This window comes from Homo sapiens, chromosome 11 (assembly GCF_000001405.40).
Source record: "Homo sapiens chromosome 11, GRCh38.p14 Primary Assembly".
Lineage (NCBI taxonomy): Eukaryota > Metazoa > Chordata > Mammalia > Primates > Hominidae > Homo > Homo sapiens.
In genome coordinates, this window is record NC_000011.10 from 78,104,485 (window position 1) to 78,130,535 (window position 26,051).

General features: G+C 42.0%; 1 protein-coding gene across 32 annotated transcripts in view, besides 2 other annotated features; it reads right to left on the bottom strand.

Annotated features, from left to right (window-relative positions):
* Positions 1-26,051, bottom strand: part of ALG8 (ALG8 alpha-1,3-glucosyltransferase) — a 38,681-nt gene that overhangs the window by 3,539 nt on the left and 9,091 nt on the right. For 11 of the 32 annotated variants that reach the window (NM_001425234.1, NM_001425227.1, NM_001425229.1 and 8 more), the window contains 9 exons: positions 22,874-22,952; positions 19,537-19,730; positions 16,581-16,690; positions 14,698-14,765; positions 9,782-9,908; positions 9,402-9,505; positions 8,166-8,286; positions 4,958-5,097; positions 2,323-2,462 (listed from right to left, as the gene is read on the bottom strand). In NM_001425234.1, coding sequence (NP_001412163.1) covers positions 2,323-2,462; positions 4,958-5,097; positions 8,166-8,286; positions 9,402-9,505; positions 9,782-9,908; positions 14,698-14,765; positions 16,581-16,690; positions 19,537-19,640 — 914 coding nt within the window. In that variant the 5' untranslated portion in view covers positions 19,641-19,730; positions 22,874-22,952. Of the gene's footprint in view, positions 1-2,322; positions 2,463-3,232; positions 3,281-4,957; positions 5,098-8,165; positions 8,287-9,401; positions 9,506-9,781; positions 9,909-10,221; positions 10,315-14,697; positions 14,766-16,580; positions 16,691-19,536; positions 19,731-22,873; positions 22,956-26,051 lie in introns of all 32 variants that reach the window. The other 21 variants (NR_189149.1, XR_001747956.2, NM_001425226.1 and 18 more) reach the window with 18 other exon arrangements.
* Positions 419-713: a silencer, noted in NCBI's record as "tiled region #11448; HepG2 Repressive DNase matched - State 12:CtcfO". NCBI's record gives its function as "represses a minimal TATA promoter and a strong SV40 promoter by Sharpr-MPRA in HepG2 cells {active_cell/tissue: HepG2}" and the evidence as "EXISTENCE:reporter gene assay evidence [ECO:0000049][PMID:27701403]".
* Positions 24,524-25,342: an enhancer, noted in NCBI's record as "H3K4me1 hESC enhancer chr11:77840054-77840872 (GRCh37/hg19 assembly coordinates)". NCBI's record gives its function as "activates a minimal SCP1, AML or CMV promoter by ChIP-STARR-seq in naive H9 embryonic stem cells {active_cell/tissue: H9 hESC(naive)}" and the evidence as "EXISTENCE:reporter gene assay evidence [ECO:0000049][PMID:30033119]".

Consider the following 26,051-nt stretch of genomic DNA (forward strand, 5'->3'; position numbering starts at 1 on the left):
ACTGTTATTACACTTGCAAATAGCTTAAATAAACTGCATCTCCTATTACATTAGAACTGGCTGAGGCATAGAAGAACATGCTGATTTTGGCACAAGTTCAATTTAGTTGAGAATATTAATTTTTTAGTAGGAAATTTTAAGCAATCAATAGCATGTATCAAACTGAATCAGGGGTATCGTAAAAGAATCTTGCTTCTGGCCGGGGACAGTGGCTCATGCCTTTAATCCCAGCACTTTGGGAGGCCGAGGCGGGAGGATCACCTGAGGTCAGGAATTCAAGAGCAGCCTGGCCAACATGGTGAAACCCTGTCTCTGCTAAAAATACAAAAATTAGCTGGGCATGGTGGCGGGTGCTTGTAATCCCAGCTACTCAGGAGGCTGAGGCAGGAGAATTGCTTGAACCTGGGAGGCAGAGGATGCAGTGAGCCGAGATCGCGCCACTGCACTCCAGCCTGGGCAACAGAGCGAGACTCTGTCTCAAAAAAAAAAAAAAAAGAATCTTGCTTCCCTGAGTAATTGCCTTCTCCAAAGACAGGAATGTTGTGGGATTGGGAGCTGCCTAGTGGTGGCAGTCAGGGAAACAGGACTTGGAGTTTCATTTCCAACCCTATAGCTCATCTCTTGGACAATGCCCTTCACCTGCTGGTGTTTGGTGTGAATTCAGACTAAAGACATTAAAAGTTTTTGCTTTACTTTTTAATTTGGAAACTCCAAGCTGCTAAATAAACCCAGACAAGCCACATACTGGCCTGACAAATTTGCTTAATATATGTTCAGAGCTTAAATGATTTCTCAAGATTCAAGAAAAATATAAAGAAAGAGGCTATTATTACCATTTATTTATCTATTGGGTTTCAACTATGCCTAAACTGGACACTTACATTTAAAATGGTTTTTTTAGCATGGCATAGTGAAAAGATCATAGATTCAACATCATAAGATTCAGGTCCTAACTCTAATTCTTGCGACCTGTATGACTTTGGACAAGTCACAAACATTTTGAGCCCTAGATTCTTCAGATGTTAAGACAGGGAATAAGCCTGTTTTGTTGGCTCACATCTGCAATCCCAGCACTTTGGGAGGCTGAGGTAGGAAGACTGCTTGTGCCCAGTAGTTTGAGACCAGCCTAGGCAACATGGCAAGACCCTGTCTCTACCAAAAAGTAAAAAAAAAAAAAAGAAAGGAAAAAAAAGGGAATAATACCCATTTATTTTAACTATCTTTTTTTTTTTTCTTTTTTTGAGACAGGGTCTCACTCTATTGCCCCAGGCTGGAGTGCAGTGGCGCCATCTTGGCTCACTGCAACCTTCACCTCCCAGGTTCAAAGGATCTTCATGCCTCAGCCTCCCAAGTAGCTGGGATTACAGGCATGCACCACCATGCCTGGCTAATTTTTGTATTTTTAGTAGAGATGGGATTTTGCCATGTTGGCCAGGCTGATCTCAAACTCCTGGCATCAAGTGAACCACCGCTTCAGCCTCCGAAAGTACTGGGATTGCAGATGTGAGCCACCATGCCTGGCCAATTATCTTAAAGATTATTGTGAGGCGCAAAAGAAAGAATGCAAAACAAAAACAGTTCTGGAAAATCTGAAATGTAGTACAGTATCAGGTATTATTCCAGAATAGACTAAATCCTTACTTTGACTAACAACACTTAACAAGGAACCATGGGACCTTATTTTCAGACGGGATGACACCAAAGCCCAAGTTTTTTCTTTTTTTCATTTTTGAGACAGAGTCTCCTTCGGTCACCCAGAATGGAATGCAGTGGTGCGATCTCGGCTCACTGCAACCTCTTCCTCCCGGGTTCAAGCAATTCTCCTGCCTCAGCCTCCCGAGTAGCTGGGACTACAGGCATGTGCCACTATGCCCAGCTAATTTTTTGTATTTTTAGTAGAGATGGGGTTTCACCATGTTAGCCAGGATAGTCTCGATCTCCTGACCTCGTGATCTGCCCGCCTTGGCCTCCCTAAGTGCTGGGATTACAGGCGTGAGCTACCGCGCCCGGCCAGCCCAGGTTTTTTCTATAACATACTGTCCCTCAATGATCAGATCTAAAAGCCGGCTTTCATGGTACTTAATCACTACAGTGCTTCTTTCCAAAAACGCAGAAACAGAAATAGTACATGCATTTTTGCATACCTTCATGGGTCCAAGAATCTCAAGTTAAGCATCCCTGTCCTGTCCTAGTGGACATCTGTTCCTATACATCTTTGTTTTTGCCTATCCTGGTGAACATGACAAGAAGGGACAGAGCAAATAGAAAATAGGATCATTGTGAAATATGCCAAAATGCTCACTGGCTGAGCTATCTGCTTACCTCATTGGGAGAATTGCTAGAAGTATGGCTTTTTCATGAACATGCCACCCAAACATAAAGGAGCTCAAGGCACAAAGAGTTAGACATCGGAGAAAGCCTCTGGGCCCTTGGGGTTTAAACCAAAGACAGAAAATAGAGGGCTAGAAACAACAGGCAAAGATAAACTTCAGTATCATTTGAAACAGACTTTACAGAAACAGAGTTCAGGTGAATACAATTTGCATCATCTCTGAAAGACAGCCAATCTTAGACAATTCTTCATGAAACCGAATCATTCATCACTTTGTGCACAGTCTAACAAAAGTTAACATAAAAGCAACAACTCAGAAAAAATTGGCATTTGATGTGTATATATATATTTTTATATGTAAATAAATATATTTTATATGTAAATATATATATATATATATATATATAATTTTTTGTTTTTTTGAGACGGAGTCTCGCTTTGTTGCCAAGGCTGGAGTGCAGTGGTGCGATCTCGGCTCACTGCAACCTCCACCTCCTGGGTTCAAGCGATTTTCCTGCCTCAACCTCCCAAGTAGCTGGGATTACAGGTGCCTGCCACCACGCCCAGCTAATTTTTGTATTTTTAATAGAGACGGGGTTTCACCATGTTGGCCAGGCTGGTCTCAAAATCCTGACCTCGTGATCTGCCTGCCTTGGCCTCCCAAAGTGCTGGGATTACAGGTTTGAGCCACCGCACCTAGCCTTGATGTATATATTTAACTCATTAAAATTAATTCTACTGGCTGGGCATGGTGGCTCATGCCTATAATCCCAGCACTTTGGGAGGCCAAGGCAGGCAGATCACTTGAGGTTAGGAGTTCAAGAACAGCCTGACCAACATAGTGAAACCCCATCTCTACTAAAAATACAAAAAAAACTAGCTGGGCGTGGTGGTACATACCTGTATTCCCAGGTACTCTGGAGGCTGAGGCAGGAGAATCGCTTGAACCTGGGAGGCAGAGGTTGCAGTGAGCTGAAATTGCGCCACTGCACTCCAGCCTAGGTGACAGACCGAGACTGTCTCAAAAAAAAAAAAAAAAAAAAAAATTGGCCGGGCCTAGTGACTCACGCCTGTAATCCCAGAACTTTGGGAGGCTGATGCAAGTCGATTACGAGGTCAGGAGTTCAAGACCAGCCTGGCCAAGATGGTGAAACCCTGTCTCTACTAAAAACTACAAAAAAGGCCGGGTGTGGTGGCTCAGGCCTATAATCCCAGCACTTTGGGAGGCCGAGGTGGGCGGATCACGAGGTCAGGAGATCGAGACCATCCTGGACAACATGGTGAAACCCTGTCTCTACTAAAATACAAAAAAAATTAGCCGGGCGTGGTGGTGCATGCCTGTAGTTCCAGCTACTCAGGAGGCTGAAGCAGGGGAATCGCTTGAACCCAGGAGGTGGGGGTTGCAGTGAGCTGAGATCGTACCACTACACTCCAGCCTGGCAACAGAACAAGACTCCCGTCTCAAAAAACAAAAACAAAAACAAAAACAAAACTACTGCAAAACAATTAGCTGGGTGCAGTGGCAGGCGCCTGTAATCCCAGCTACTTGGGAGGCTGAGGCAGGAGAATCGCCACTGCACTCCAGCCTGGATGACGGAGTGAGACTCTGTCTCAAAAAAAAAAGAAATTAATTATACTATCAAAATTAATAATTAAGTTCTGGGATGTACAGTCTAACAACTTATTACATCTTCATAATTAGTTTACTAATAGTTCATTTATTAATGAACCTAATAGGTCAAACTACAGAAGTCCATAGATGCTTTTGAGCCAATAAATTAGATTTACCATATTAATAAATACTTAGTTTTATTGGCTGGAAGGCCATAGAAACTATATGTACCTCATAAGGCTGAAATTTTAGGAAAAATGTTTTACCTCAATTAAAATATGTGAACAAACAGCCCAACAGAGCTTAATTATCTACATACCTGTACTGTCATGTAATTAAGTGGAATCAGGTGGTTGCTAGCAGGTTTGAAACATTCAGAAACCAAAATTAAAGATGAGTGTAATTATCGATAGGATTGAGTTGTTTATATTGAATTCTACTAAAATTATACCATGAAATTGAGGTCACTGCAATCACTAATGAAATTTTAGAAATTAAAGTTTCTAAAGTACTTAGAATGAGGCCTCTAAGAGCATCTTACTCATATTAGGCTCATCTTAGGCTCAAAAAGCCTTTGTCGACTCTCTCAACTCATTATCACCATCAAGACAAAACATCCACGCTGTCCAGATACATTTGGAATTTTGATGATTTAGCTAACGGTGAGAAAAACAAACCAAATCTGGATGTCCCTGCCACAAACATTTCCTTCTTTCTCTGCAGCATGATCCATGCCTCTTCCTCTCTGGGCTTTTCTTTTTCCCTTCCCCCGGGTGAACAGATGGTCTAACAGCCACTGGCAAGAATCTCTCACAAAGGCTTTACTGGTAATCCTTCCTTATGGTATTCAAAGTTACTCTAAGAATTGCTAGGAAATGCTTCAATCTGCAGAAGGATTACAGGCATGAAATTTATCCTACAGTTGGAAGAGCTTGAAAGTTGAAATTTAATCAGCCAGACAAAAGAAAAGCAGAGAAAACTCAAGAAATGAGCACCATCTGTTGAGTTCTTACCAATATGGCAATCAGTGTGCAGATGAGGGTTGCCAAGGGAGTCACTGAGGGAAGGACTGTGTGTTGGAACTGCTGAACCAAACCACTTGTCATTGAGGCCTTGGGAATATTGTTGGGATCAAGAAATTTCAATTTCAAACCTATTAAACAGATATTTTGTTTTGTTTTATTTTTATCTTTATTACTGAGATACCATATATTAACAATCAATTCCTTGAGGAATAAAAAGTAAGCTACTAAATCTTATTGCTGCTTAAAGGCTAAGATTTCATGAATTTAATCCTATACTATTCTACCCAAAATGCCTCTGGTCTTAAGATTATAATATATAAAGCAGCTCTTTGCATTGGAACAGGGAATTTGTGCAGCTTATAGGAAACTTGCTGGCAGGCAGCACAAATGGTAATCTGCTCTCACCTCTGAAAGCAAGCTTCTAGAACAGTCTGAGCATGTCATGAAGGAACTTTGAATCCTTCATCTCCTATGGGAGAAACCCTCTATTCCTAAACATAGTATCCAGTGTCTTCCATGATCTCATCGCCCCTTCCCCCCTGTTCAATCTCATCTTTACTTTGTTAAATGCGGCTTGGCCACAATGAAGTAACTGTGAGTCCTCAATATACCACTCTCAACACCTGTGTCCCTCTGCCCAGGCAACTCCCTTTGCCAAATTAACTTCTAATTCAATCACCTGAGAAAGCTCCTAAATCAATAAGCAGAACTGATTTTCTTGTGAGCTCACTTTTTTTTTTTGAGATGGAGTCTTACTCTGTCACCCAGAGACAGAGGCTGGAATGCAGTGGCGCAATCTCAGCTCACTGCAGCCTCTGCCTCCCAGGTTCCAGGTTCCAGCGATTCTCCTGCCTCAGCCTCCCCATTAACTGGGATTACAGGCATGTGCCACCATGCCCGGCTAATTTTTGTATTTTTAGTAGAGACGGGGTGTCACCATGTTGGCCAGGCTGGTCTCGAGCTCCTGACTTCAGGTGATCCGCCCATCTCAGCCTCCCAAAGTGCTAGGATTACAGGCCTGAGCCAACGTGCACAGCTGAGTGAGCTCACTCTAACAGTGTTCACCACAAGGCACTGCACTTGTTTATGTGCTCATTTCCTCTACTATACTGTATTCCTTGAAGGCAGGAATGATGATGAGTTCATTTCTATCCCCAGTACATAGGAGCTCAATAAATACTTGGTTATTAAATAAATCAATTCAGAGAATGACAATACAAGCCCCAACAAGCTCTGGCTAATAGGACAGTCAGAGACAGTTTGAGCACCTATAGGGCCTGTCAAATGCCAGTGAAAATGAATACAATGTGGGAAAGATGTACCAAAATATTTTCTACTTACTAACCTCTTCCCCTTTCCCCTTTGGCCTGCTGATTCTCTCTTACAGCTAATAACTATCTCCCTAAAACAAAGTTGTCTAACTCTGACACTGACTTTCCATGTAAAACATCTTCAAAGACACAAACATACAAGTGAGGGTACAGTACAGCTTCCTGACTCAGACAAGGCAACTGGCCCTTGTACCTCATACTATGCTGGCTGTTTAAAGCTTTTTTTGAAATATGAATGTTAGGAATTACTCTGTAAGAATGCCATGTACATCAAGGCTAGATTCACAGTGAGCAACACGGTGACACAATGTATAAGTCATCACATAGGCAGTGTATGATCTCCTCCAAGTACTTATCAAAAACAGTAATAGTGGCCACCATGCATGGAGCGTCTACCATGTGCCCAGGGCTCTGCACTTACTACTTTTAGCCCCCTGAGGTACAGAGATGGAGTAACCTGCCCAAAGTCACACAACTAATAGGTGGTAAAACTGAACTCAGGTTTGTCTGGCTCCAAAGTCTCTGCTACTGATAACCTAGTACTTTTTAAATTTTGCTTCTGTTCCTCACAACACACTGTATAGGTACAGGTAAAGTACTAGTATGTCTTTCGTATAGTGAGGAAAGTTAGACGAAAGGAAGCAAATGACTTGTCAATGCCACACACTGCAATAGCAATTTACACAGGTGAGCCTCCAAACCAAGTCATCAGACTCTAGGTCTGGAGTCCACAAACTATAGGCCAACAGCCAAATGTAGCCTGTGCCCAGTTTTTGCACAGCACTGAAGTATGAATGGTTTTTACTTTTATAAGGTTTTAAACAAATGTGTGCATACACAAATACAGACACAGACACACATACACACACACACACTGTGTGTGGCCTGCATAGCTTAAAATATTATCTGGCCAGTTACAGAAAAAGTTTGCTGACCACCACTCTTGATCATGCCATTTTCCCACCAAGCTAGATTGTATTCACAAATGAGAGACTGTGTTATCCAGAGTGAGTTATTTTTAGTAGAACCATCTCAAACCATAACTTATTTTTCATTACGACCCAATTTTAAAAACCATAGCCTGGGTTTTTCATTTCTTCTCACCTCATGTTAAAATGCAGGGTTATTTTCCTTACTGGTTTAATACCGAGAGTCACAACTTACATATTCTTCTTTCTTGTATGTTTAGGTTTAAAAGTGGGGTAGGCCAGGCATGGTGGCTTGTGCTGGTAATCCCAGCACTTTGGGAAGCCAAGGTGGGAGGATCATTTGAGACCAGAAGTTTGATCCCACTCTGGGCAACATAGTGAGACCCTCATCTCTAAAAAACAAAAATTTAAAAATCAGCCAGGTGTGGTGGTATGCACCTGTGGTCCCAGCAACTCAGGAGGCTGAGACAAGAGGACTGTTTGAGCCCAGGAATTTAAGGCTGCAGTGCACTATGATCTCAACACCATTGCACTCCATCCTGGGTGACAGTGAGACCCTGTCTCTAAAAATAAGTAGGGGTTTGAATAGGAATGGTGAGAAGGGGGGAAAAAAAGCAGGGTTAACTGCTGCTGCTGAATAGTTTTTTAATTAAGGCAAAAATTACCTTTATAGAGTGTCTACATATTTTATTTTTTCCCCAGGAAAGGATCAATAACCTCATTACCACAAGGAGCTTTTATAAGGAAAACAGTCTGTTTACTGCACTAAAGCCTCAGTCCCAAGAACTGCTCCCCCTGTTCATCCTGAAAGCTGAAATGCAGGACTGGAGAACAAACAATTCAGCCACATTCAAAACACAAAGGTTTTTCCATTTCTCCATGTGCCTAAGTCCTTTCAATATTCAGAGTCTGAGTAAAAAATGCTCGCTACCATACCGATGACAGACAGCACTTTGTCCAAAGCATTGTACAAAGCCCAGAAGTTTGGAGCCCAATATGCATGACAGAGGCCCCTCTTGAAAGGAAAGAGTCGGGAAAAGACTTGAGGCAGCTGATTCTGTTGAAAAGAGAAATGAAACTGATTAAACAGTCATCAATCTTTTTCAAATTCAAAAAGAGAACTAGGGAACTCTCTATGGTATAGTGTGTAGAAAGTTATGGGGTCTGGGTTCTAGTAAGTAAGTGGTTATATGCTCACCACAATGTAAGTTCACAGAACCTTCTTTTGGTCTCACTTTGTCCACTGTCCAGTGGGACAATATACATAAAAATACTCTGAATACCCGTCCATACTATTATAATAACAGAAGAATTTACAAGCTACAAAGCAGAACACAGACTGCAGCTTATCCATGTCTACTAGGGTGAAGGGGAGAGCTGGGAAACTACAAAAGATGTGACGCGTTTCAGTTTTAGTAAGAATTAAAATTAATTAGTTGATTTCAGGGCAGGGAAGAAGAGGAAGAAAGAAAACATCTGAACATCTGTTAAATTCTATGCACTTTAGAATGTCTGCTGTCCATGTAAGACTGCAAAATTATTGATTTTGTTACAAATACATTTTATCAAGTAAGTAAACTTACAAGTACAGAATACACAAATAATGAAGATCAATTCTGTGTTTGTGTATGTGTAATGTACAGTTAAACATATACATGTATATATATATACATATTTGAATGTGCACAAAAATGTCTGAAAGAATACTACCTTATCGGGCCAAGAGCGGTGGCTCATGCCTTTAATCCCAGCACGTTGGGAGGCTGAGGCAGGTGGATCACCTGAGGTCAGAAGTTCGAGTCCAGCCTGACCAACATGTTGAAACCCTGTCTCTACTAAAAATACAAAAATTAGCCAGGCATGGTGGCATGTGCCTGTAATCCCACCTACTCAGGAGGCTGAGACAGGAGAATCGCTTGAATCCAGGAGGTGGAGGTTGCAGTGAGCCGAGATCACGCCACTGCATTCCAGCCTGGGCGACACAGTGAGACTCCATCTTAAACAAAAACAAAAAAAAAAAAGGAATACTGCCCTATCTTTGGGGAGTCACGTTGGGTAAGGAGTAAGAAAAAAGTAGCTTTTACTTATTTTACATATTCCTGGCTTTATTAGGTTTTCTAAACACCAACAAAGAACATGTATTAATTGAAAAAAAAAAAAAAAAAGGCTTACCAAGGCCAGGAAAGGACCCAATGAAAGAGCAGAAACTAAGAAAACAACCAGTCCCAGGGAAATAACACGAACAAAGCTGAAACTCTTCCATCGAATAGACCCATCTACAGAAAAGGAACATTATCAGTAACCAGGAAGATGGAAAGGAACATTAACCATAACCTATATCATGTGCTAAAACTAGAAGTATCCCACAATAGTATACCAATCTATTCATGATGTGGCAAGAGCAGAGAAAAGCGAGAATGGGTAAAGGGCTTACAGGATTAGCAGCTGAGATATCTGCTGTGCTTCATAAAACCTTCTTATCAAGCAAGCCACCAAGTCAACACAGTAAGGGAAAAATCGAAAATGTTTTTGCTATTATTACCAAAACTTGCCTGGTTTATTTGCAGTGAAACAGTAGGATCGCAGCAGATATACACCATAAGCTGGTGCTACATAGAGGTAGATATGCTTGAAATGTAGGAGAACAGCAAAGAGAAATGCTCCTTCCATATGCCTTTTCTAGGAGATTTAAAAGGGAAATATCACTTTAAAATTCAGGGTAAATGAAATGCAATAATGTGGTATTCTAGATTGAATCCTGGAACAGAACAAGGACATTAAAGGAAAAACGGGTGAAATTCAAATGCATCAATATTGCTTTCTTAGTCTTGATGAATGTACCATGGTTATGTAAGGTGGTAATGGGGGAAAATGGGTGAGGGATATATAGGAACTCTCTGTACTATTTCTACAACTTTTCTGGAAAGCTAAAATTATCCTACAAAAAGGTTATTTAAAAAACTAAAATTAGGCTAAGTGTGGTGACTCACACCTGCAATCCCAGCACTTTGGTAAGCCGACGTGGAAGGATTGCTTGACCCCAGGAGTTCAAGACCAGCCTGGACAAAATAGGGAGGCCCTGTCTCTACAAAAAAATAAAAAATAAAAAAAATTAGCTAGGCGTGATGGCTTGCACCTGTAGCACCAGCTACTCTGGAGGCTGAGGTGAGAGAATCTGCTTTAGCCCAGGAGGTGGAGGCTGCAATGAGCCATGATGACGACACTGCACTCCAACTTGGGTGACAGAGTGAGACCCTGTCTCCAAAATGAATAAATAAATAACAAAAATAAACAATACCTACTTTTTTAAATTTTTATTTTATTTTATTTTATTTGAGATGGAGTCTCCCTCTGTCTTACCCAGGCTGAAGTGCAGTGGCACAATCCTGACTCACTGCAGCCTCCGCCTCCTCGGTTCAAGCAATTCTCCTGTCTCAGCCTCCCGAGTAGCTGGGACTACAGGCGTGTGCCAACACACCCGGCTAATTTTTGTATTTTTTAGTAGAGACAGGGTTTCACCATGTTGGCCAGGCTGGTCTCAAACTCCTGACCTCAGGTGATCCACCTGCCTCGGCCTCCCAAAGTGCTGGGATTACAGGCGTGAACCGCCATGCTTGGCCCAAGGTAAATATTCTATAACCAGTATAAGGAAAACATAGGCAAGTGATTCCAGCTAGCTTTTTTTTTGAGACGGAGTTTTGTTCTTGTTGCCCAGGCTGGAGTGCAATGGCACGGTCTCGTTTACTGCAACCTCCACTTTCCGGGTTCAAGTAATTCTCCTGCCTCAGCCTCCCAAGTAGCTGGGATTACAAGTGCCCACCACCACGCCTGGCTAATTTTTTTGTATTTTTAGTAGAGATGGGGTTTCACCATGTTGGCCAGGCTGGTCTCAAACTCCTGGCCTCAACTGATCCACCTGTCTCAGCCTCCCAAAGTGCTGGGATTACAGGCATGAGCCACTGCGACCAGCCCAGCTAGCTTTTATACTGAGTCTAATGTGTTCATAAATTCACTATTCCAACAAAGATTTATCACATACTAAGCCTTATGCTGAGATCATATCCTACATGTCATCAGTAATAACATACTGCAAACTCTCCTTTAGGAATTAGAGCCCAGAGAATTAAATTACCTTCACCCCTCACAGTTTCAGAATAGCTGGAGTTGATTTCCAAAGAAGGGCTGGGAATGAGAACATGAACAAATATATAGGATGCTATGCTACCAAAAAAATCAATTGAATTTTATATTGTAGATTAGGTAACTTATATAGCACTATCAGGCTGAAGGCACCAGTCACTGCACTTGATACAAACACTACTTAGGAAAACTAAAGGTATTCTGATGTAAAAAGAACAAACAAAGGCCAGGCGTGGTGGCTCATGCCTATAATCCCAGCACTTTGGGAGACCGAGGCGGGTGGATCACTTGAGGTCAGGAGTTTGAGACCAGCCTGGCCAACATAGTGAAACCCTGTCTCTACTAAAAATACAAAAAATTAGCCAGGCATGGTGGTGGGTGCCTGTAATCCCAGCTACTTGGGAGGCTGAGACACGAGAATCACGTGAGGTGGAGGTTGCAGTGAGGTGGAGGTTGCAGTGAGCTGAGATCGCGCCACTGCACTCCAGCCTGGGTGACAATGCAAGATGCTATCTCCAAAACAAACAAACAAACAAACAAAACAAAACCAGCTTACTATAACTAAGAAGTTATAGTAAGAATTTGGCTGGGTGGGGTGGCTGACACCTGTAATCCCAGCACTTTGAGAGGCTGAAGTGGGTGGATCACGAAGTCAGGAGATCCAGACCATCTTGGCTAACATGGCGAAACCCCGTCTCTAGTAAAAATACAAAAAATTAGCCGGGAGTGGTGGTGTGCACCTGTGGTCCCAGCTAACTGGAGGCTGAGGCAGGAGGACTGTTTGAGCCCAGGAGGTTGAGGTTACAGTGTGCTGTGACTCCACCACTGCATTCTCCAGCCTGGGTGACACAGCATGACGTTGTCTTCAAAAAAAAAGAAAGTCTGAAATCTATCCACCTCACAGGAATTTCGGAAGGATTAAATGAGATAACAGTCCTGATGTTCTGCAGGGGAAACTGCCACAGGGACCATGAAAGGCCAGTTTCCTTCTCTCATCAGGTGCGGTCTAGAATTGGTAGCTTTAGGAGTAATAACAAAAAAGAGTGGGAATGCTTCTAGGTCTCTCTTCAATTTTATAACTTATTTAAGATCTGGGTAAGGTCTAGCTGATTCCATAGTCAAATTTTATTTGTTCAATAAGCATCCAACAAATATTCATTGAACACCAGTTATATTCTAATTACTATGAAGCTTTTTATGGTTAAAAGAGAAAAGTTTATCCAGACATTTATAGTTGACAAAGAACTTTAGATTATCAAATTTGATCTTTCCAATGTCCCTGTGAGGTAAGTAGCCCCATTTTACAACTAAGAATGTAGCGGTAAATTTCATTTTATGGGGAAAATGAGGCTAGGAGGGTTAAATAACTTGCCTTCAGTTAATGGTTCTCAAGCCTGATGGTGTATCAAAATTCCTTAGAGAGTCTTAAGCCCCATTCCCAGAGACTTCGATTCCATGTACAAAGGGATGGCCCCAAAATCTGAATTTCTGATTTCCTCCTCTATAGGAGGAATAATAATTCTAACAACTTCACAGAATGGTTCTGAAGTTTACTCAATAAGATATATGTAAGCCAGGTGTGGTGGCACACATCTGTAATCCCAGAGACTCAGAAGCAGAGGTAGGAGGATTGTTCAAGGCCAGGAGTTCAAGACCTGTCTCTAATCCTAGCACTTTGGGAGGCCAGAGTGGGAGGATCACTTGTGGTCAGGAGTTTAAGACCAGCCTGGACAACATAGTGAAACCTCCTTCTCTACCAAAAAAAAAAAAAAAAATTAGCCAGGTATGGTGGTGTGCACCTGTAATTCTAGCGACTCAGGAGGCTGAGGTGAGAGAATTGCTTGAGCCCAGGAGTTTGAGGAGGCAGTGAGCCATGATTGCGCCAGTGCACTCCAGCCTGGGTGACAGAGCAAGACTCCAACTCTTAAGAAAAAAAAAAGACCGGGAGCGGTGGCTCACGTCTGTAATCCCAGCACTTTGGGAGGCCGAGGTGGGCAGATCACGAGGTCAGGAGATCAAGACCATACTGTAAATGGTGAAACTCCGTCTCTACTAAAAATACAAAAAATTAGCCGGGCGTGGTGGCAGGCGCCTGTAGTCCCAGCTACTCGGGAGGCTGAGGCGGGAGAATGGCGTGAACCCAGGAGAAGGAGCTTGCAGTGAGCCAAGATCGCGCCACTGCACTCCAGCCTGGGAGACAGGGCGAGACTCCGTCTCAAAAAAAAAAAAAAAGAAAAAAAAATACATGGAATGTATGTAATCTTAGTAGCCATGTATTTGAGTAAGCCCTGAGTTGCATAGCTCATTAACATTAGTCAGGATTACACACAGTTCTTCTGATTCCAAATCCCTTTCTATTACATTAATCTTCATGCTGCTGACAGTAAAGTATCACTATCATAGTTATTATATTGTAAAGACTGCTGCTAGAGACTTCATTTGTACATAAATTATCCCAACCAGACAAAATGTAATTTCGGGGCTGGGCACAGTGGCTCATGCCTGTAATCCCAGCACTTTGGGAGGCTGAGGCGGGCGGAACACTTGAGGTCAGGAGTTTGAGACCAGCCTGGCCAACATGTTGAAACCCCATCTCTAATAAAAATACAAAAATTAGCCAGGCATGGTGGTGGGCGCCTGTAATCCCAGCTACTTGGGAGGCTGAGGCACAAGAATTGCTTGAACCTGGGAGGCAGAGGTTGCAGTGAGCCGGGATTGTGCCATCGCACTCCAGCCTGGGCGATAGAGCGAGACTCATTCTCAAAAAAAAAAAAAAAAAAAAAACAAAAGCAAAGAAAATGTAATTTAGGGCAGGCACAGGGGCTCATGCTTATAATTCCAGCACTTTGGGAGGCCGAGGCAGGAGGATCACTTGAGGTCAGGAGTTCGAGCCAACATGGCAAGACCCTGTCTCTACTAAAAATGCAAAAATTAGCCAGGTGTGGTGGTGTGCACCTGTAATCCCAGCTACTCATGAGGCTTGAACCCAAGAGGCAGAGGTTGCAGTGAGCTGAGATTGCACCACTGTACTCCAGTCTGGGTGACAGAGTGAGACTGTTTCAAAACACAAACAAACAAAAACTCAATTTAATTCAGGCCTGCCGCATGCTAACAAGCTTTTGGAGTACAATTGTCTCATCTGTTAAATGAAGAAAATTATGGTCAAAAGAGAAGATGGAATTTGTGAGAAATACCTAATAAAAGTGTCTATCGCACTTGGCAGCTCAAAACAGTCAAATAAATTTACCTATCACCCACTACACTGTTCCCTTTACAATCTAAAAACTAATCTAAAAGGGAAAAAATCTAATTAAACAATTATGTTTACCTGAAATAATCGTGCAATGGAGAGTAGCATTAATCCAAATAAAAAGCCATTGTACTGAAAATGAATATCTGGACTTAGGTCAAGGAAAGACAACAGAGGACACCAAATTCATAATGAACTATACCAGCTGATGGAGTATAGAAATTCCAAATGCTTTAATAGCAAAATTAAAGACAAAAAATACTACTACTAATGTGGACTGCTCATAAATATGTTTTCTATAAACAGATTCAAATTTTTTTTTTAATTTTTTTTTTTTTTTTTTGAGATGGAGTCTCACTCTGTCACCCAGGCTGGAGTGCAATGGCACAGTCTTGGCTCACTGCAGCCTCTGCCTCCTGGGTCCAAGCGATTCTCCTGCTTCAGCCTCCCGAGTAGCTGGGACTACAGGCACATACCACCACACCCAGCTAATTTTTTTGTACTTTTAGTAGAGACGGGGTTTCACTATGTTGGCCAGGCTGGTTTCGAACTCCTGACCTCGTGATTCCCCAACCTTGGCTTCCCAAAGTGCTGGGATTACAGGCGTCAGCCACTGCACCCGGCCTAAACACATATTTTTATTTTTGCTAATCTCTGTATCATTCCAATTTTGCTGAAGCAAACACCATAGTCAGATCTTTAATTGAAACTTACATTTGGGGGTGTGGTGGCTCACACCTGTAATCCCAGCATTTTGGGAGGCTGACATGGGCAGATCACTTGGGACCAGGCGTTCAAGATCAGCCTGGTTAACATGGCAAACCCCCGTCTCTACCGAAAATACAAAACTTAGTCAGATGTGGTGGCACACACCTGTAGTCCCAGCTACTCGGGAGGCTGAAGCATGAGAATCACCTGAACCCAGGAGGCGGACACTGCAGTGAGCTGAGATTGTGCCACTGCACTCCAGTCTGGGTGACAGAGCAAGAATGTCTCAAATTAAAAAAAAAAGAAAAGGAAAGAAACTTATGTTTAATGACATCTTAGACTAGATGATTTAAAATATATAAATTTTTTTTATTTAAAAACAAATTTATGTTTAAGAAGAAAAACAAAACTTTCCCAGGTTTTTCCTACCTTTTCTACCTTAAAGGCCCCGCAGCTCAGGGGCAAGAAGTTTTTTGTTTTTTAGAATTAGGGATGAGAAAGGAATGGACCTAACTGCTACTAAGGCCACCAGCATGCAGCATTGCATTGTTTATAGGACATATACAATCTTATGTATTAAGCCTCACAATGAACCTGTGAGGTATTTAGAATTTTCCTCTTTAGAGATACTTTAGAGATTAAGAAATTAAGCCTCAGAGACATTCATCTACTCATGGTTCTAAAGCTGCTAATGGCAACTAAGATTTGGGTCCAGGTTACATTGAAACCAGAGGCTGGGTGCTTTCCTCCACACCAGGCTACCTTTATGAAAACTGCAACTATTAGTTTCCATTACAAGGATTTTAATTACATCCAGAAGCCTTGAATTTAAAAACTTTGCCTTTTAATATGTGGTAAGCCAAGATGGTAGAAAAGCACAAATGCCTGACCATTCCCACACGCACACTGTGATATGCCTTTTCCAATTAAAGGTATTTGGAATAATGTGTTACAAAACTATTTAATATATATGTATCAGATTAATCTAAAAATAGTTCACAATCTCAGTACATTGTTTTATTGATGATTTAGCTGGTTCTCACATATCCCACTAATTTTTCAGAAATGAAATACTCTAACCTCAGAGTCCAGTGAAGTTGGGCAGAGACCACAGTTAAGTGAGCCTACTAACCCACCCCACACTCATTTTCAGAAGGAGCTCACATCTCCAATCATTATTATAGAAAACATTAATCTTGTATTAGTATACATCAGAATTAGTAAGGGAATAGTACATAGAATATCAAGGATACGGTCCACAATTAATAACCCGAAGTTCCACAGAAGTAATACCGACAGAATAAATTTTGGCTTTTCTGTAAGTTCTTTACCCACTTTTTTTCCATCAATGCATTTACAGCACCTACATTGAAACATTAGGAAAGAAACAGAAACAACTTTGATCTTCATCGGAACATCACTTCTGCAGAGTAAACTATGATACATTAGTCATTCCTGACAAACTACATGCCATTCTTTTTTTTTTTTTTTTCCAATTTTTCTTTTTCTTTTTTTAGAAGGGATGGGGTATCACTGTTGCCCAGGCTGATCTCGAACTCCTGGGCTCAAGCAATCCTCCTGCCCTGGCACCCCAAAGTCCATGCCATTCTTTATTTCTTAAAAAGGTCACAGCAAGCCGAGCAGGGTGGCAGGTGCCTGGCTACTCAGGAGGCTGAAGTGAGAGGACCACTTGAGCTTGGGGTCTGAGGCCAGCCTGGGCGACATAGTAAGACCTTCTCACTAGAAAAAAAAAAAAAAAGAAAAAATGGTAGCACAAACAAGGACCTCGGGGCCTGTTCCACGTCTTTTTCTAAGCTGTGCTGATCTAAAACAAAGTCTTCATTTAACAAAATTAAAAATAAAAAGCCACGTAAACCCCAAAGTAAGGATTTTGAAAACTGAGAGAGCATACATTATTTCAGTCCTTAAGAGTAAAAACTGCAGACCAGGCTAATTTAACACTCTAAATTATATATCATAATACCAGCCAAATTAAGAACAGAACTGCAAATGTGCACCTCCTGACTGTCCAAATTATAATTTAAAAACCTTTATGTAAAAATGTATGTCATTTAAATGTTGAGATATATTACTAAGTGACAATAACAGGTGACAAAACAGTAAGATCCTATTTTTATTTTATGAAAATTATATTCGAACACAGAAAAGAGACTGAACTAACATACACCAAAATGTTAATAGTGATTAGTATACGTGGGGGAGTATGACTCATTTTTACTTTGCATGTGTGTGTGCTTTTCCAAAGTTTTTACAATGGGGATGTATTATTCTATAAAAAGACGATATTGAAAATGTGCTACATTTGAAGAGTGGCAAATTTTAACAATAAATCTAAAACAAATAATAGATGCAATTAAAGGGGGACTAGCAAAGGTATCCTCCTTTCGCCCTATGGAGCCTCAGTTCCCTCATGAATAGAGGCAGTAAACTTACAGGGTCACTGAGAAAATTAAATAAGTTAATAATCTGTATATCATGCTTGGTTCTGGGAACTGACACAGAGATTTCAATTTTTTTTTTTTTTTTTTGAGACAGGGTCTCAGTCTGTCGCCTAGGATGGAGTGCAGTGGCGTAATCACAGCTCACTGCAGCCTTGACCACCCAGGTTCAAGAGATCCTCTGCCTCAGGCTCCCAAGTAGCTGGGACAACAGTCCCCGGCAACCACAGCTGGCTAATTTTTGTATTTTTAGTAGAGGCAGGGTTTCACCATGTTATCCAGGCTGGTCTCAAACTCCTGAGCTCAAGCAATACACTAGCCTTGGCCTCCCAAAGTGCTGGGATTAAAGGCATGAGACACTATGCCTGGCCTTTCAACAATCTTTTTAACTATTCCCTCTACTTTGCAGATGGAAATGAATTCTATTTCCTCTCCCTTTGTGCTTGTATACTCTTCCCCTGGAAGCTTGAATTCAAACATTTTGAGTTAAAAAGAGTATATTAAAAATTACCTTCCCTTTCAACTCTTGCCAGGTCATAAACAGATTGAAAGGAAGGGTTTCAAACAGGATTATTCAATGAGAATGCGCAAGGGTTAAAGACATTCCCAAGGGACTCTTTACTGAGTGGGGCAAGGGTTCAGTGTAGAGGGCCTCACAAACAGAAACGATCCATTTATGACAAGGGTCACTGAATGAACACCAGTCACTGTTCTGTCACAATCACACCAGCGAGCTTAAGAGTTAGGAAAGAATGAGGTCGGTGCAGCGGCTCATGCCTGTAATCCCAGCACTTTGGGAGGCCGAGGCGGGTGGATCACGAGGTCAGGAGTTCAAGACCAGCCTGGCCAACATGGTGAAACCCTGTCTCTACTAAAAATACAAAAATTAGCCTGCCATGGTGGTGTGCACCTGTAATCCAAGCTACTTGGGAGGCTGAGGCAGGAGAACTGCTTGAACCCGAGAGGCAGTTGCAGTGAGCCGAGATCGCGCCACAATACTCTAGCCTGGGCGACAGAGCAAGATTCCATCTCAGGGAAAAAAAAGAAAAAAAAAAAAAAAAAAAAAGAAAAAAAAGAATTAGGAAAGAATGGAAACTGACATTAACTGAAACTTAGTACTTGGAAGTCACTGTGCAAGACATTCTATATATGTGTATTCAATACTTAAAATTAACTTATAAGTAAAAGTTGTAAAACATAAAAATTTAAAATATAAGCATAACTTAAAATAACAAAGAGTCTTCATGAAGGAAAGTATATGGAAACAACTAAAAGCACTCAGTGAAATTTCTTGAGTTTACTAGAATGAAAGCTCCGTAAAAGCAGACTTTGGTGGTTAGCACAATCCATACGTGTGCGCTACTGTGCATGTACTGTGTGCATACCCTAAGATAGGGTAGGTGATGGAAGCCTCTGGCGGCCTGCTGCAAGGAAGCAAAGAAAAACATATGGAGCTATTCTGGGTGGGAGAAATGGCCCTAGAACTATACTTGGGACTACTTCTTTTCACAACATTCATAATCTCTTGTTCTACCTCTGCCTTGTAACTCCACCTTATCCCCATTTCTTCCACAAGATTCAGCTAGAGTGCTTTAAACATGTAGTTTAAAGCACAATACAATTTTTCATTGTTTTAGCATTTGCTATCATATAAACTTTGTTCCTCCTAAATTGGGAGTAAGTTAATACTACTTAACACTGTACTATTTTTTCAATACCTTCCATACAAAATGACATGCTCCAGACTTACTCACGGACAGCATACACAAAGAGTACATCCATAAAGATGACGGAAAATCTCTGGAAAAGTAAGGTCCTTGAGCTGGAGTAATTCAAATTATGGACATTCAGCATTTCTTGATCAAAATATTTGGCAACATGTGACAGGATATACTCAAACCATGCAAAGAAAGGGGGGTAATCCAACGTCCACTCTGAAGTTGCCTGTGATAAAAATAGAAGATCAGACATATCCTAAATAACTGAATAAACAAAGATGGTGCAACGATTTAAAATTTTTCATTCTCTGGTCTTTAAAACAGCACAATAAGGCTGGGCGTGGTAGCTCACACCTGTAACCCCAGCACTTTGGGAGGACAAGGCAGGCAGATCGCTTGAGCCCAGGAGTTCAAGACCAGTCTGGGCAACATGGTAAAACCCTGTCTCTATTTTTAATTAAAAACAAACGAACAAAAATCACAGTGAAATGCTGTTGCACTTAAAATATGCCCTAAATTAATAGAACAATTCCTATGTAAGACTGAACAGAACACTAAAACCTGTCTTGTAAATTATTTAACATGGTCTTCAATTTCCTTAAATAGAGTCAACTACACTTAAAGGAAATTAATTTGAAACCTGGAGATGATAAACTTGGTTATGACATGGTTCTACTCATCTAAATAACAAATAATTCACTAACTTAGGTTCAAATTCTGTCTTAGAGACACAATTTCCCTATTTGTAAAATGAGGTATTATGAAGATTAAATGAGATAATACATATGAAATATATTTATAAACAACAAAATAATACACAAATGCTATTATATTTTGTTTCAGTAAGTTATATGATCCTGGAGAATAGAAACTATCCTTTATCATTTTGTATCCTCAGCATTTAGTAAGTGCCTGACATATTGCTTGGGATAAAATAACCACTAGTTAAAGGAACAGTTGCTAATGAGTAAATGAAAACAGAAATCATATGAAAATATACAAGCTTTAGAATAGTATATTTTGTTAGATTTCTCTCTCAGTTTTCTTTTTCTTTTTTTTTTTGAGATGGAGTCTTGCTCTGTCACCCAGGCTGGAGTGCAGTGGCGCGATCTTGGCTCACTGTAAGCTCCGCCTCCCGGGTTCACACCATTCTCCTGCCTCAGCCTCCCGAGTAGCTGGGACTACAGGAGCCCGCCACCACACCCGGCTAATTTTTTGTATTTTTAGTAGAGACGGGGTTTCACCATGTTAGCCAGGACGGTCTCGATCTCCTGACTTCGTGATCCGCCCACTTCGGCCTCCCAAAGTGCTGGGATTACAGGCGTGAGCCACCGCGCCCAGCCTAAGTCTCACTTTTTGCACCTATACAACAGGGATAGTAGTATCTACCTCATGGGTTATGGTATTCCATTTTATATATACATATAAAATACTATATATGGTATCGAAACTCATAGGAAACTTGCAAAAAATTTGCCTTAAAAAAAACTCCCTGGGCCGGGCATAGTGGCTCACACCTGTAATCCCAGCACTTTGGAAGGCCGAGGCAGGTGGATCACCTGAGGTCAGGAGTTCAAAACCAGCCTGACCAACGTGGTGAAACCCTGTCTCTACTAAAAATACAAAAAAAAAAAAAAAATTTCCTGGGCATGGTAGTGGGTGCCTGTAATCCCAGCTACTCAGGAGGCTAAGGCAGGAGAATCGCTTACTCAGGAGGCTAAAGGCAGGAGAATCACTTGAACCCAGGAGGCAGAGGTCGCCAGTCAGCCGAGATCGTGCCATTGCACTCCGGCCTGGGTGAGAGTGAGACTTCGTCTCAAAAGAAAAGAAAACAAAACAAAATCCAACTCCCTGTCAGCAGAGTACTGCTTTTCATCAAGAAATTTCTGGGCCGGGCGCAGTGGCTCACGCCTGTAATCCCAGCACTTTGGGAGGCCGAGGCGGGCAGATCACAAGGTCAGGAGATCGAGACCATCCTGGCTAATATGGTGAAACCCCGTCTCTACTAAAAATACAAAAAATTAGCCTGGCATGGTGGCGGGCGCCTGTAGTCCCAGCTACTCAGGAGGCTGAGGCAGGAGAATGGCGTGAACCTGGGAGGCGGAGCTTGCAGTGAGCAGAGATCGCGCCACTGCACTCCAGCCTGGGCAACAGAGCGAGACTCCGTCTCAAAAAAAAAAGAAGAAATTTCTGGAGTAATGTCTGTTTTTCATAAAGTATTACACACAGTTTAGTAATTCATACCAGAAACAAAAATACAAGCTGGGTGCAGTGGCTCACGCCTGTAATCCCAGCAGTTTGGGAGGCCAAGGTGGGTGGATCACCTGAGGTCCGGAGTTCGAGACCAGCCTGGCCAACATGGGGAAACCCCCTCTTTACTAAAAATACAAAAATTAACTGGGGCATGGTGGCGGGCGCCTGTAATCCCAGCTACTTGGGAGGCCGAGGCAGGAGAATCGCTTGAACCCGGGAGGCGGAGGTTGCAGTGAGCTGAGATTGTGCCACTGCACTCCAGCCTGGGTGACAAGAGCGAGACTCTGTCTCAAAAAAAAAAAAAAGGAAAAGAAAAAGAAATAAAAATACAGACATAGTTTTTATAAACAATATGAGAGAATGGTTTGTATATTACCTGATGTCTACACATCACATTTGATTATTCCTTTCCTCACAAAATCACAAAACATTAGGAACAGACAGGATCTTAGAAATAATTCACTCCAAATCCTCATGTGCCAGATGAGACACTAAGGCCCAGAGACATGAAGTATCTTTTCTCTATGTAACTAGATAGTGGCAGAGCCAGGCCTAAGAATCCAGTTCTTCCTCTTTCCCAGTCCACTATTCTTTCAAAAAGTGTGGTAGATATTATACCTCCCAATTTATAGACTGGGAAACTCATTTTGAAGTAAGGGGATTCCCTAGTAGTGCAAGAGGACAGAACTGAGAAGAGACCACAATTTTTATAAAGATTAATTAGATCTATGATTGCAAGAAAATTTTTTTTTTTTTGAGACAGAGTCTCACTCTGTCACCCAGGCTGGAGTGCAGTGGCGCGATCTCGGCTCACTGCAACCTCCGCCTCCCAGGTTCAAGTGATTTTCCTGCCTCAGCTCCTGAGTAGCTGGGATTACAGGTGCCCACCACCACACCCAGCTAATTTTTGTATTTTTAGTAGAGACAGGGTTTCACTGTGTTGGCCAGGCTGGTCTCCAACCCCTGACCTCATGATCTGCCCGCCTTGGCCTCCCAAAGTGCTGGGATTACAAGCGTGAGCCACCGCACCCAGCCAGAAAACATTTTTAATATCAGTAATATTTACCTAGTTTATAGATGAATCTTAAAAAAAAAAAGGTGAAAATTAAAACTTACCTCATAATACCACTGTGATATTGGCAAACTGTGAGTGATAGCAAGCCAGTTTCGGTGTACTTCAAAATCTGTGGAATGGCTACTCAAAACAATTAGATAAATAAAATGAGATTTTGCAATATTTATCAATTTCTAATTCCCATAGTTATGCTTTTAAATGGACTGACATTCCCTAAGCTGTCACAGCTCACTGTCCTATAGAGACACAAATAGACATTACATAATCCTGTAAAACCTCATTTATCTGGAGGTCAGATCTTCTAGAAAGTTGTTGAGCAATCTACAAGTCAGTGAAAAGGGTCTCAGAACTACCTAAAGGGCTGACAAGAAGCCCAGACTTTCTCTTTTTCTTTTCTTTTTTTTTTTTTTTGAGGCGGAGTCTCCTTCTGTCACCCAGGCTGGAGTGTAGTGGACCCATCTCAGCTCACTGCAACTGCCGCCCCCCGGGTTCACGCGAGTCTCCTGTCTCAGCCTCCCGAGCAGCTGAGACTACAGGCATGTACCACCAATCCTGGCTAATTTTTAGTAGAGGTGGGGTTTCGCCATGTTGGCCAGGCTGGTCTCAAACTCCTGACCTCAGGTGATCCACCTGCCTCAGTCTCCCAAAGTGCTGGGATTACAGGCGTGAGCCACCACGCCCGGCCTAGCCCAAACTTTTTCTTACAGGCGGCCCTCAGGCCTTTGCTCAGAAGTGACTTCCTCTTGCTCACAAACAATTCTAACAAAATTCATTACCTGAAAAAGGCCTCATATACCAAGACATAAGGATGAGGAGTTCATCTGACAGAGAAGGTGGGAAAAGATCCTTGCTTTGCCTTTCCCATGTCTCCAAATTCTCCCTCTTCCCATCACTATACATATCTAAGGATCACCTATCTTTAGAAAAAATCTTTTCCTGTTTGTCCACTGCTGTACCTCCCCTCCACATTTAGAACAGTACCTGACGCATGGACAAGCTCAATACATTCTTGCTGAATATCCACTCACCAAAGTGAACAATGAGTTCCACAGCAAAGCCCAATTTACCCTTTCCAACATTTTACACAACCTTTCCACAATGACAACTTTCTCCTACCTCCAGCCAACCCTTCTTTCTCAGTCATGGCTTTCCCTTCCTATATTCATCAGGGACATGTTGATATTCCCCTAGGTTCAGTTCTTGGTCCCCTTTTTACGCAACTTATTCTGCTCTGGACAATCTTATGCAAACTTTCTGGTTCCACTGTCAATTGTATAATGATGACTCCCAAATTACTTTTTTTTTTTTTTTTGGAGACGGAGTCTCGCTCTGTTGCCAGGCTGGAGTGCAGTAGTGCGATCTTGGCTCACTGCAAACTCCGTCTCCCAGGTTCAAACGACTCCCCTGCCCCAGCCACCCAAGTAGCTGGGACTACAGGTGCGCGGCACCACGCCTGGCTAATTTTTTTTTTTGTATTTTAGTAGAGATGGGGTTTTACTGTGTTGGCCAGGATGGTCTTGATCTCCTGACCTCGTGATCAGCCTGCCTCGGCCTCCCAAAGTGCTGGGATTACAGGCATGAGCCACCATGCCTGGCCTACTCCCAAATTTCAATATGCAACATTGGCTTCTTTACTAAGTTGTGGAGACAGACACCTCCAACTTCCTGTTAACAATCTCACTTGAATTTCCTACAGATATTTCAAAATCTCCACTCAGAACTGAATTGATGACCCATCCATCCCAAGTCTAAGTACGTATACCCAACAGAAATGCATAGTATGCTCACTAAAAGACACGTACTGTAAGAATGTGCAAAGTGGGGCCGGGCGCGGTGGCTCACACCTGTAATTCCAGCACTTTGGGAGGCTGAGGCAGGCGGATCACGAGGTCAGGAGATCAAGACCATCCTGGCTAACATGGTGAAACCCCATCTCTAGTAAAAATATAAAAAATTAGCTGGGTGTGGTGGTGGGCGCCTGTAGTCCCAGCTACTCAGGAGGTTGAGGCAGGAGAATGGCATGAACCCAGGAGGCGGAGCTTGCAGTGAGCTGAGATCGCGCCACTGCACTCCAGCCTGGGCGACAGAGCAAGACTCCGTCTCAAAAAAAAAAAAAAAATGTGCAAAGTAAAACTATTTGCAACAGGTAAAAAGTGGAGATAAATGTCCACAAACAGCAGAATAGCTAAATAAATTGTGGTGTTTTCACACAATGGAATACTGTAGAGCAGCAGTTCTCAAAGTGTGATTCAGGGACTCACAGGGAGACCCTTTCAAGGAGTTTGAAATATGTACTATTTTCATAATAATATTCAGATGTAATTTGTTCTACTTTCACTCATTCTCTCACAAGTATACAGTGATGTTCTAGAGGCTACATAATGTGATGTCATCACTCTGAAGGCCAGTGAAATTTGTGCTTGTATATTCTTGTGCTTGAACAATTTGTTTTAATTTCTAAAATGGTAATTATCTATTATACAGCCCACATAAACATATAGCTCTTTGTGACCCTCAATTATTTTTAAGAAGTGATTCTGACTAAAAAGTTTGAGAACCATGCTATCTAGTGATAAGAATGAAAAAACAGTAATTACACAACAACGCACAAACTTAATGTTGAGTGAAAGCCAGACCCAAGAGAATAGATTGTATGATTACATTTGTATAAAATTCAAAAACAAACAAAAAAAACCCAAACAAAAATTCAAAAACAGGCAAAATTTAACCTATGCGGTTAAAAGAACATCAGAGGCCAGGCATGATGGCTCACGCCTGTAATCCCAACACTTCGGGAGGCCAAGGCGGGTGGATCACTTGAGCTCAGGAGTTCAAGACCAGCCTGGGTAACAATGAGACCCCATCTCTCAAAAAATTTAAAAATTAGCCAGGCATGGCGGCACGCCCCTGTAGTCCCAGCTACTCAAGAGGTTGAGGTGGGAGGACTGCCTGAGCCCAAGAGGCTGAGGCTACAGTGAGCCAAGTTTGCACCACTGCACTCCAGCATGGGAGACAGAGCAAGACCCGGTCTCAAAAAAAAAAAAAAAAAAAGGTGAGAATATCAATACCTTTAGTGGGGTGGGGTTGTGGGGAGTGGCTGGAAAGATGCCCGAGGGATAATATTCTGCTTATTGATCTATATGCTTTTTACAGATGTATTCACTTTGCAAAAATTCAGTGAGCTGTACATTTATGATTTGCACTTCTGGTATTTTATAC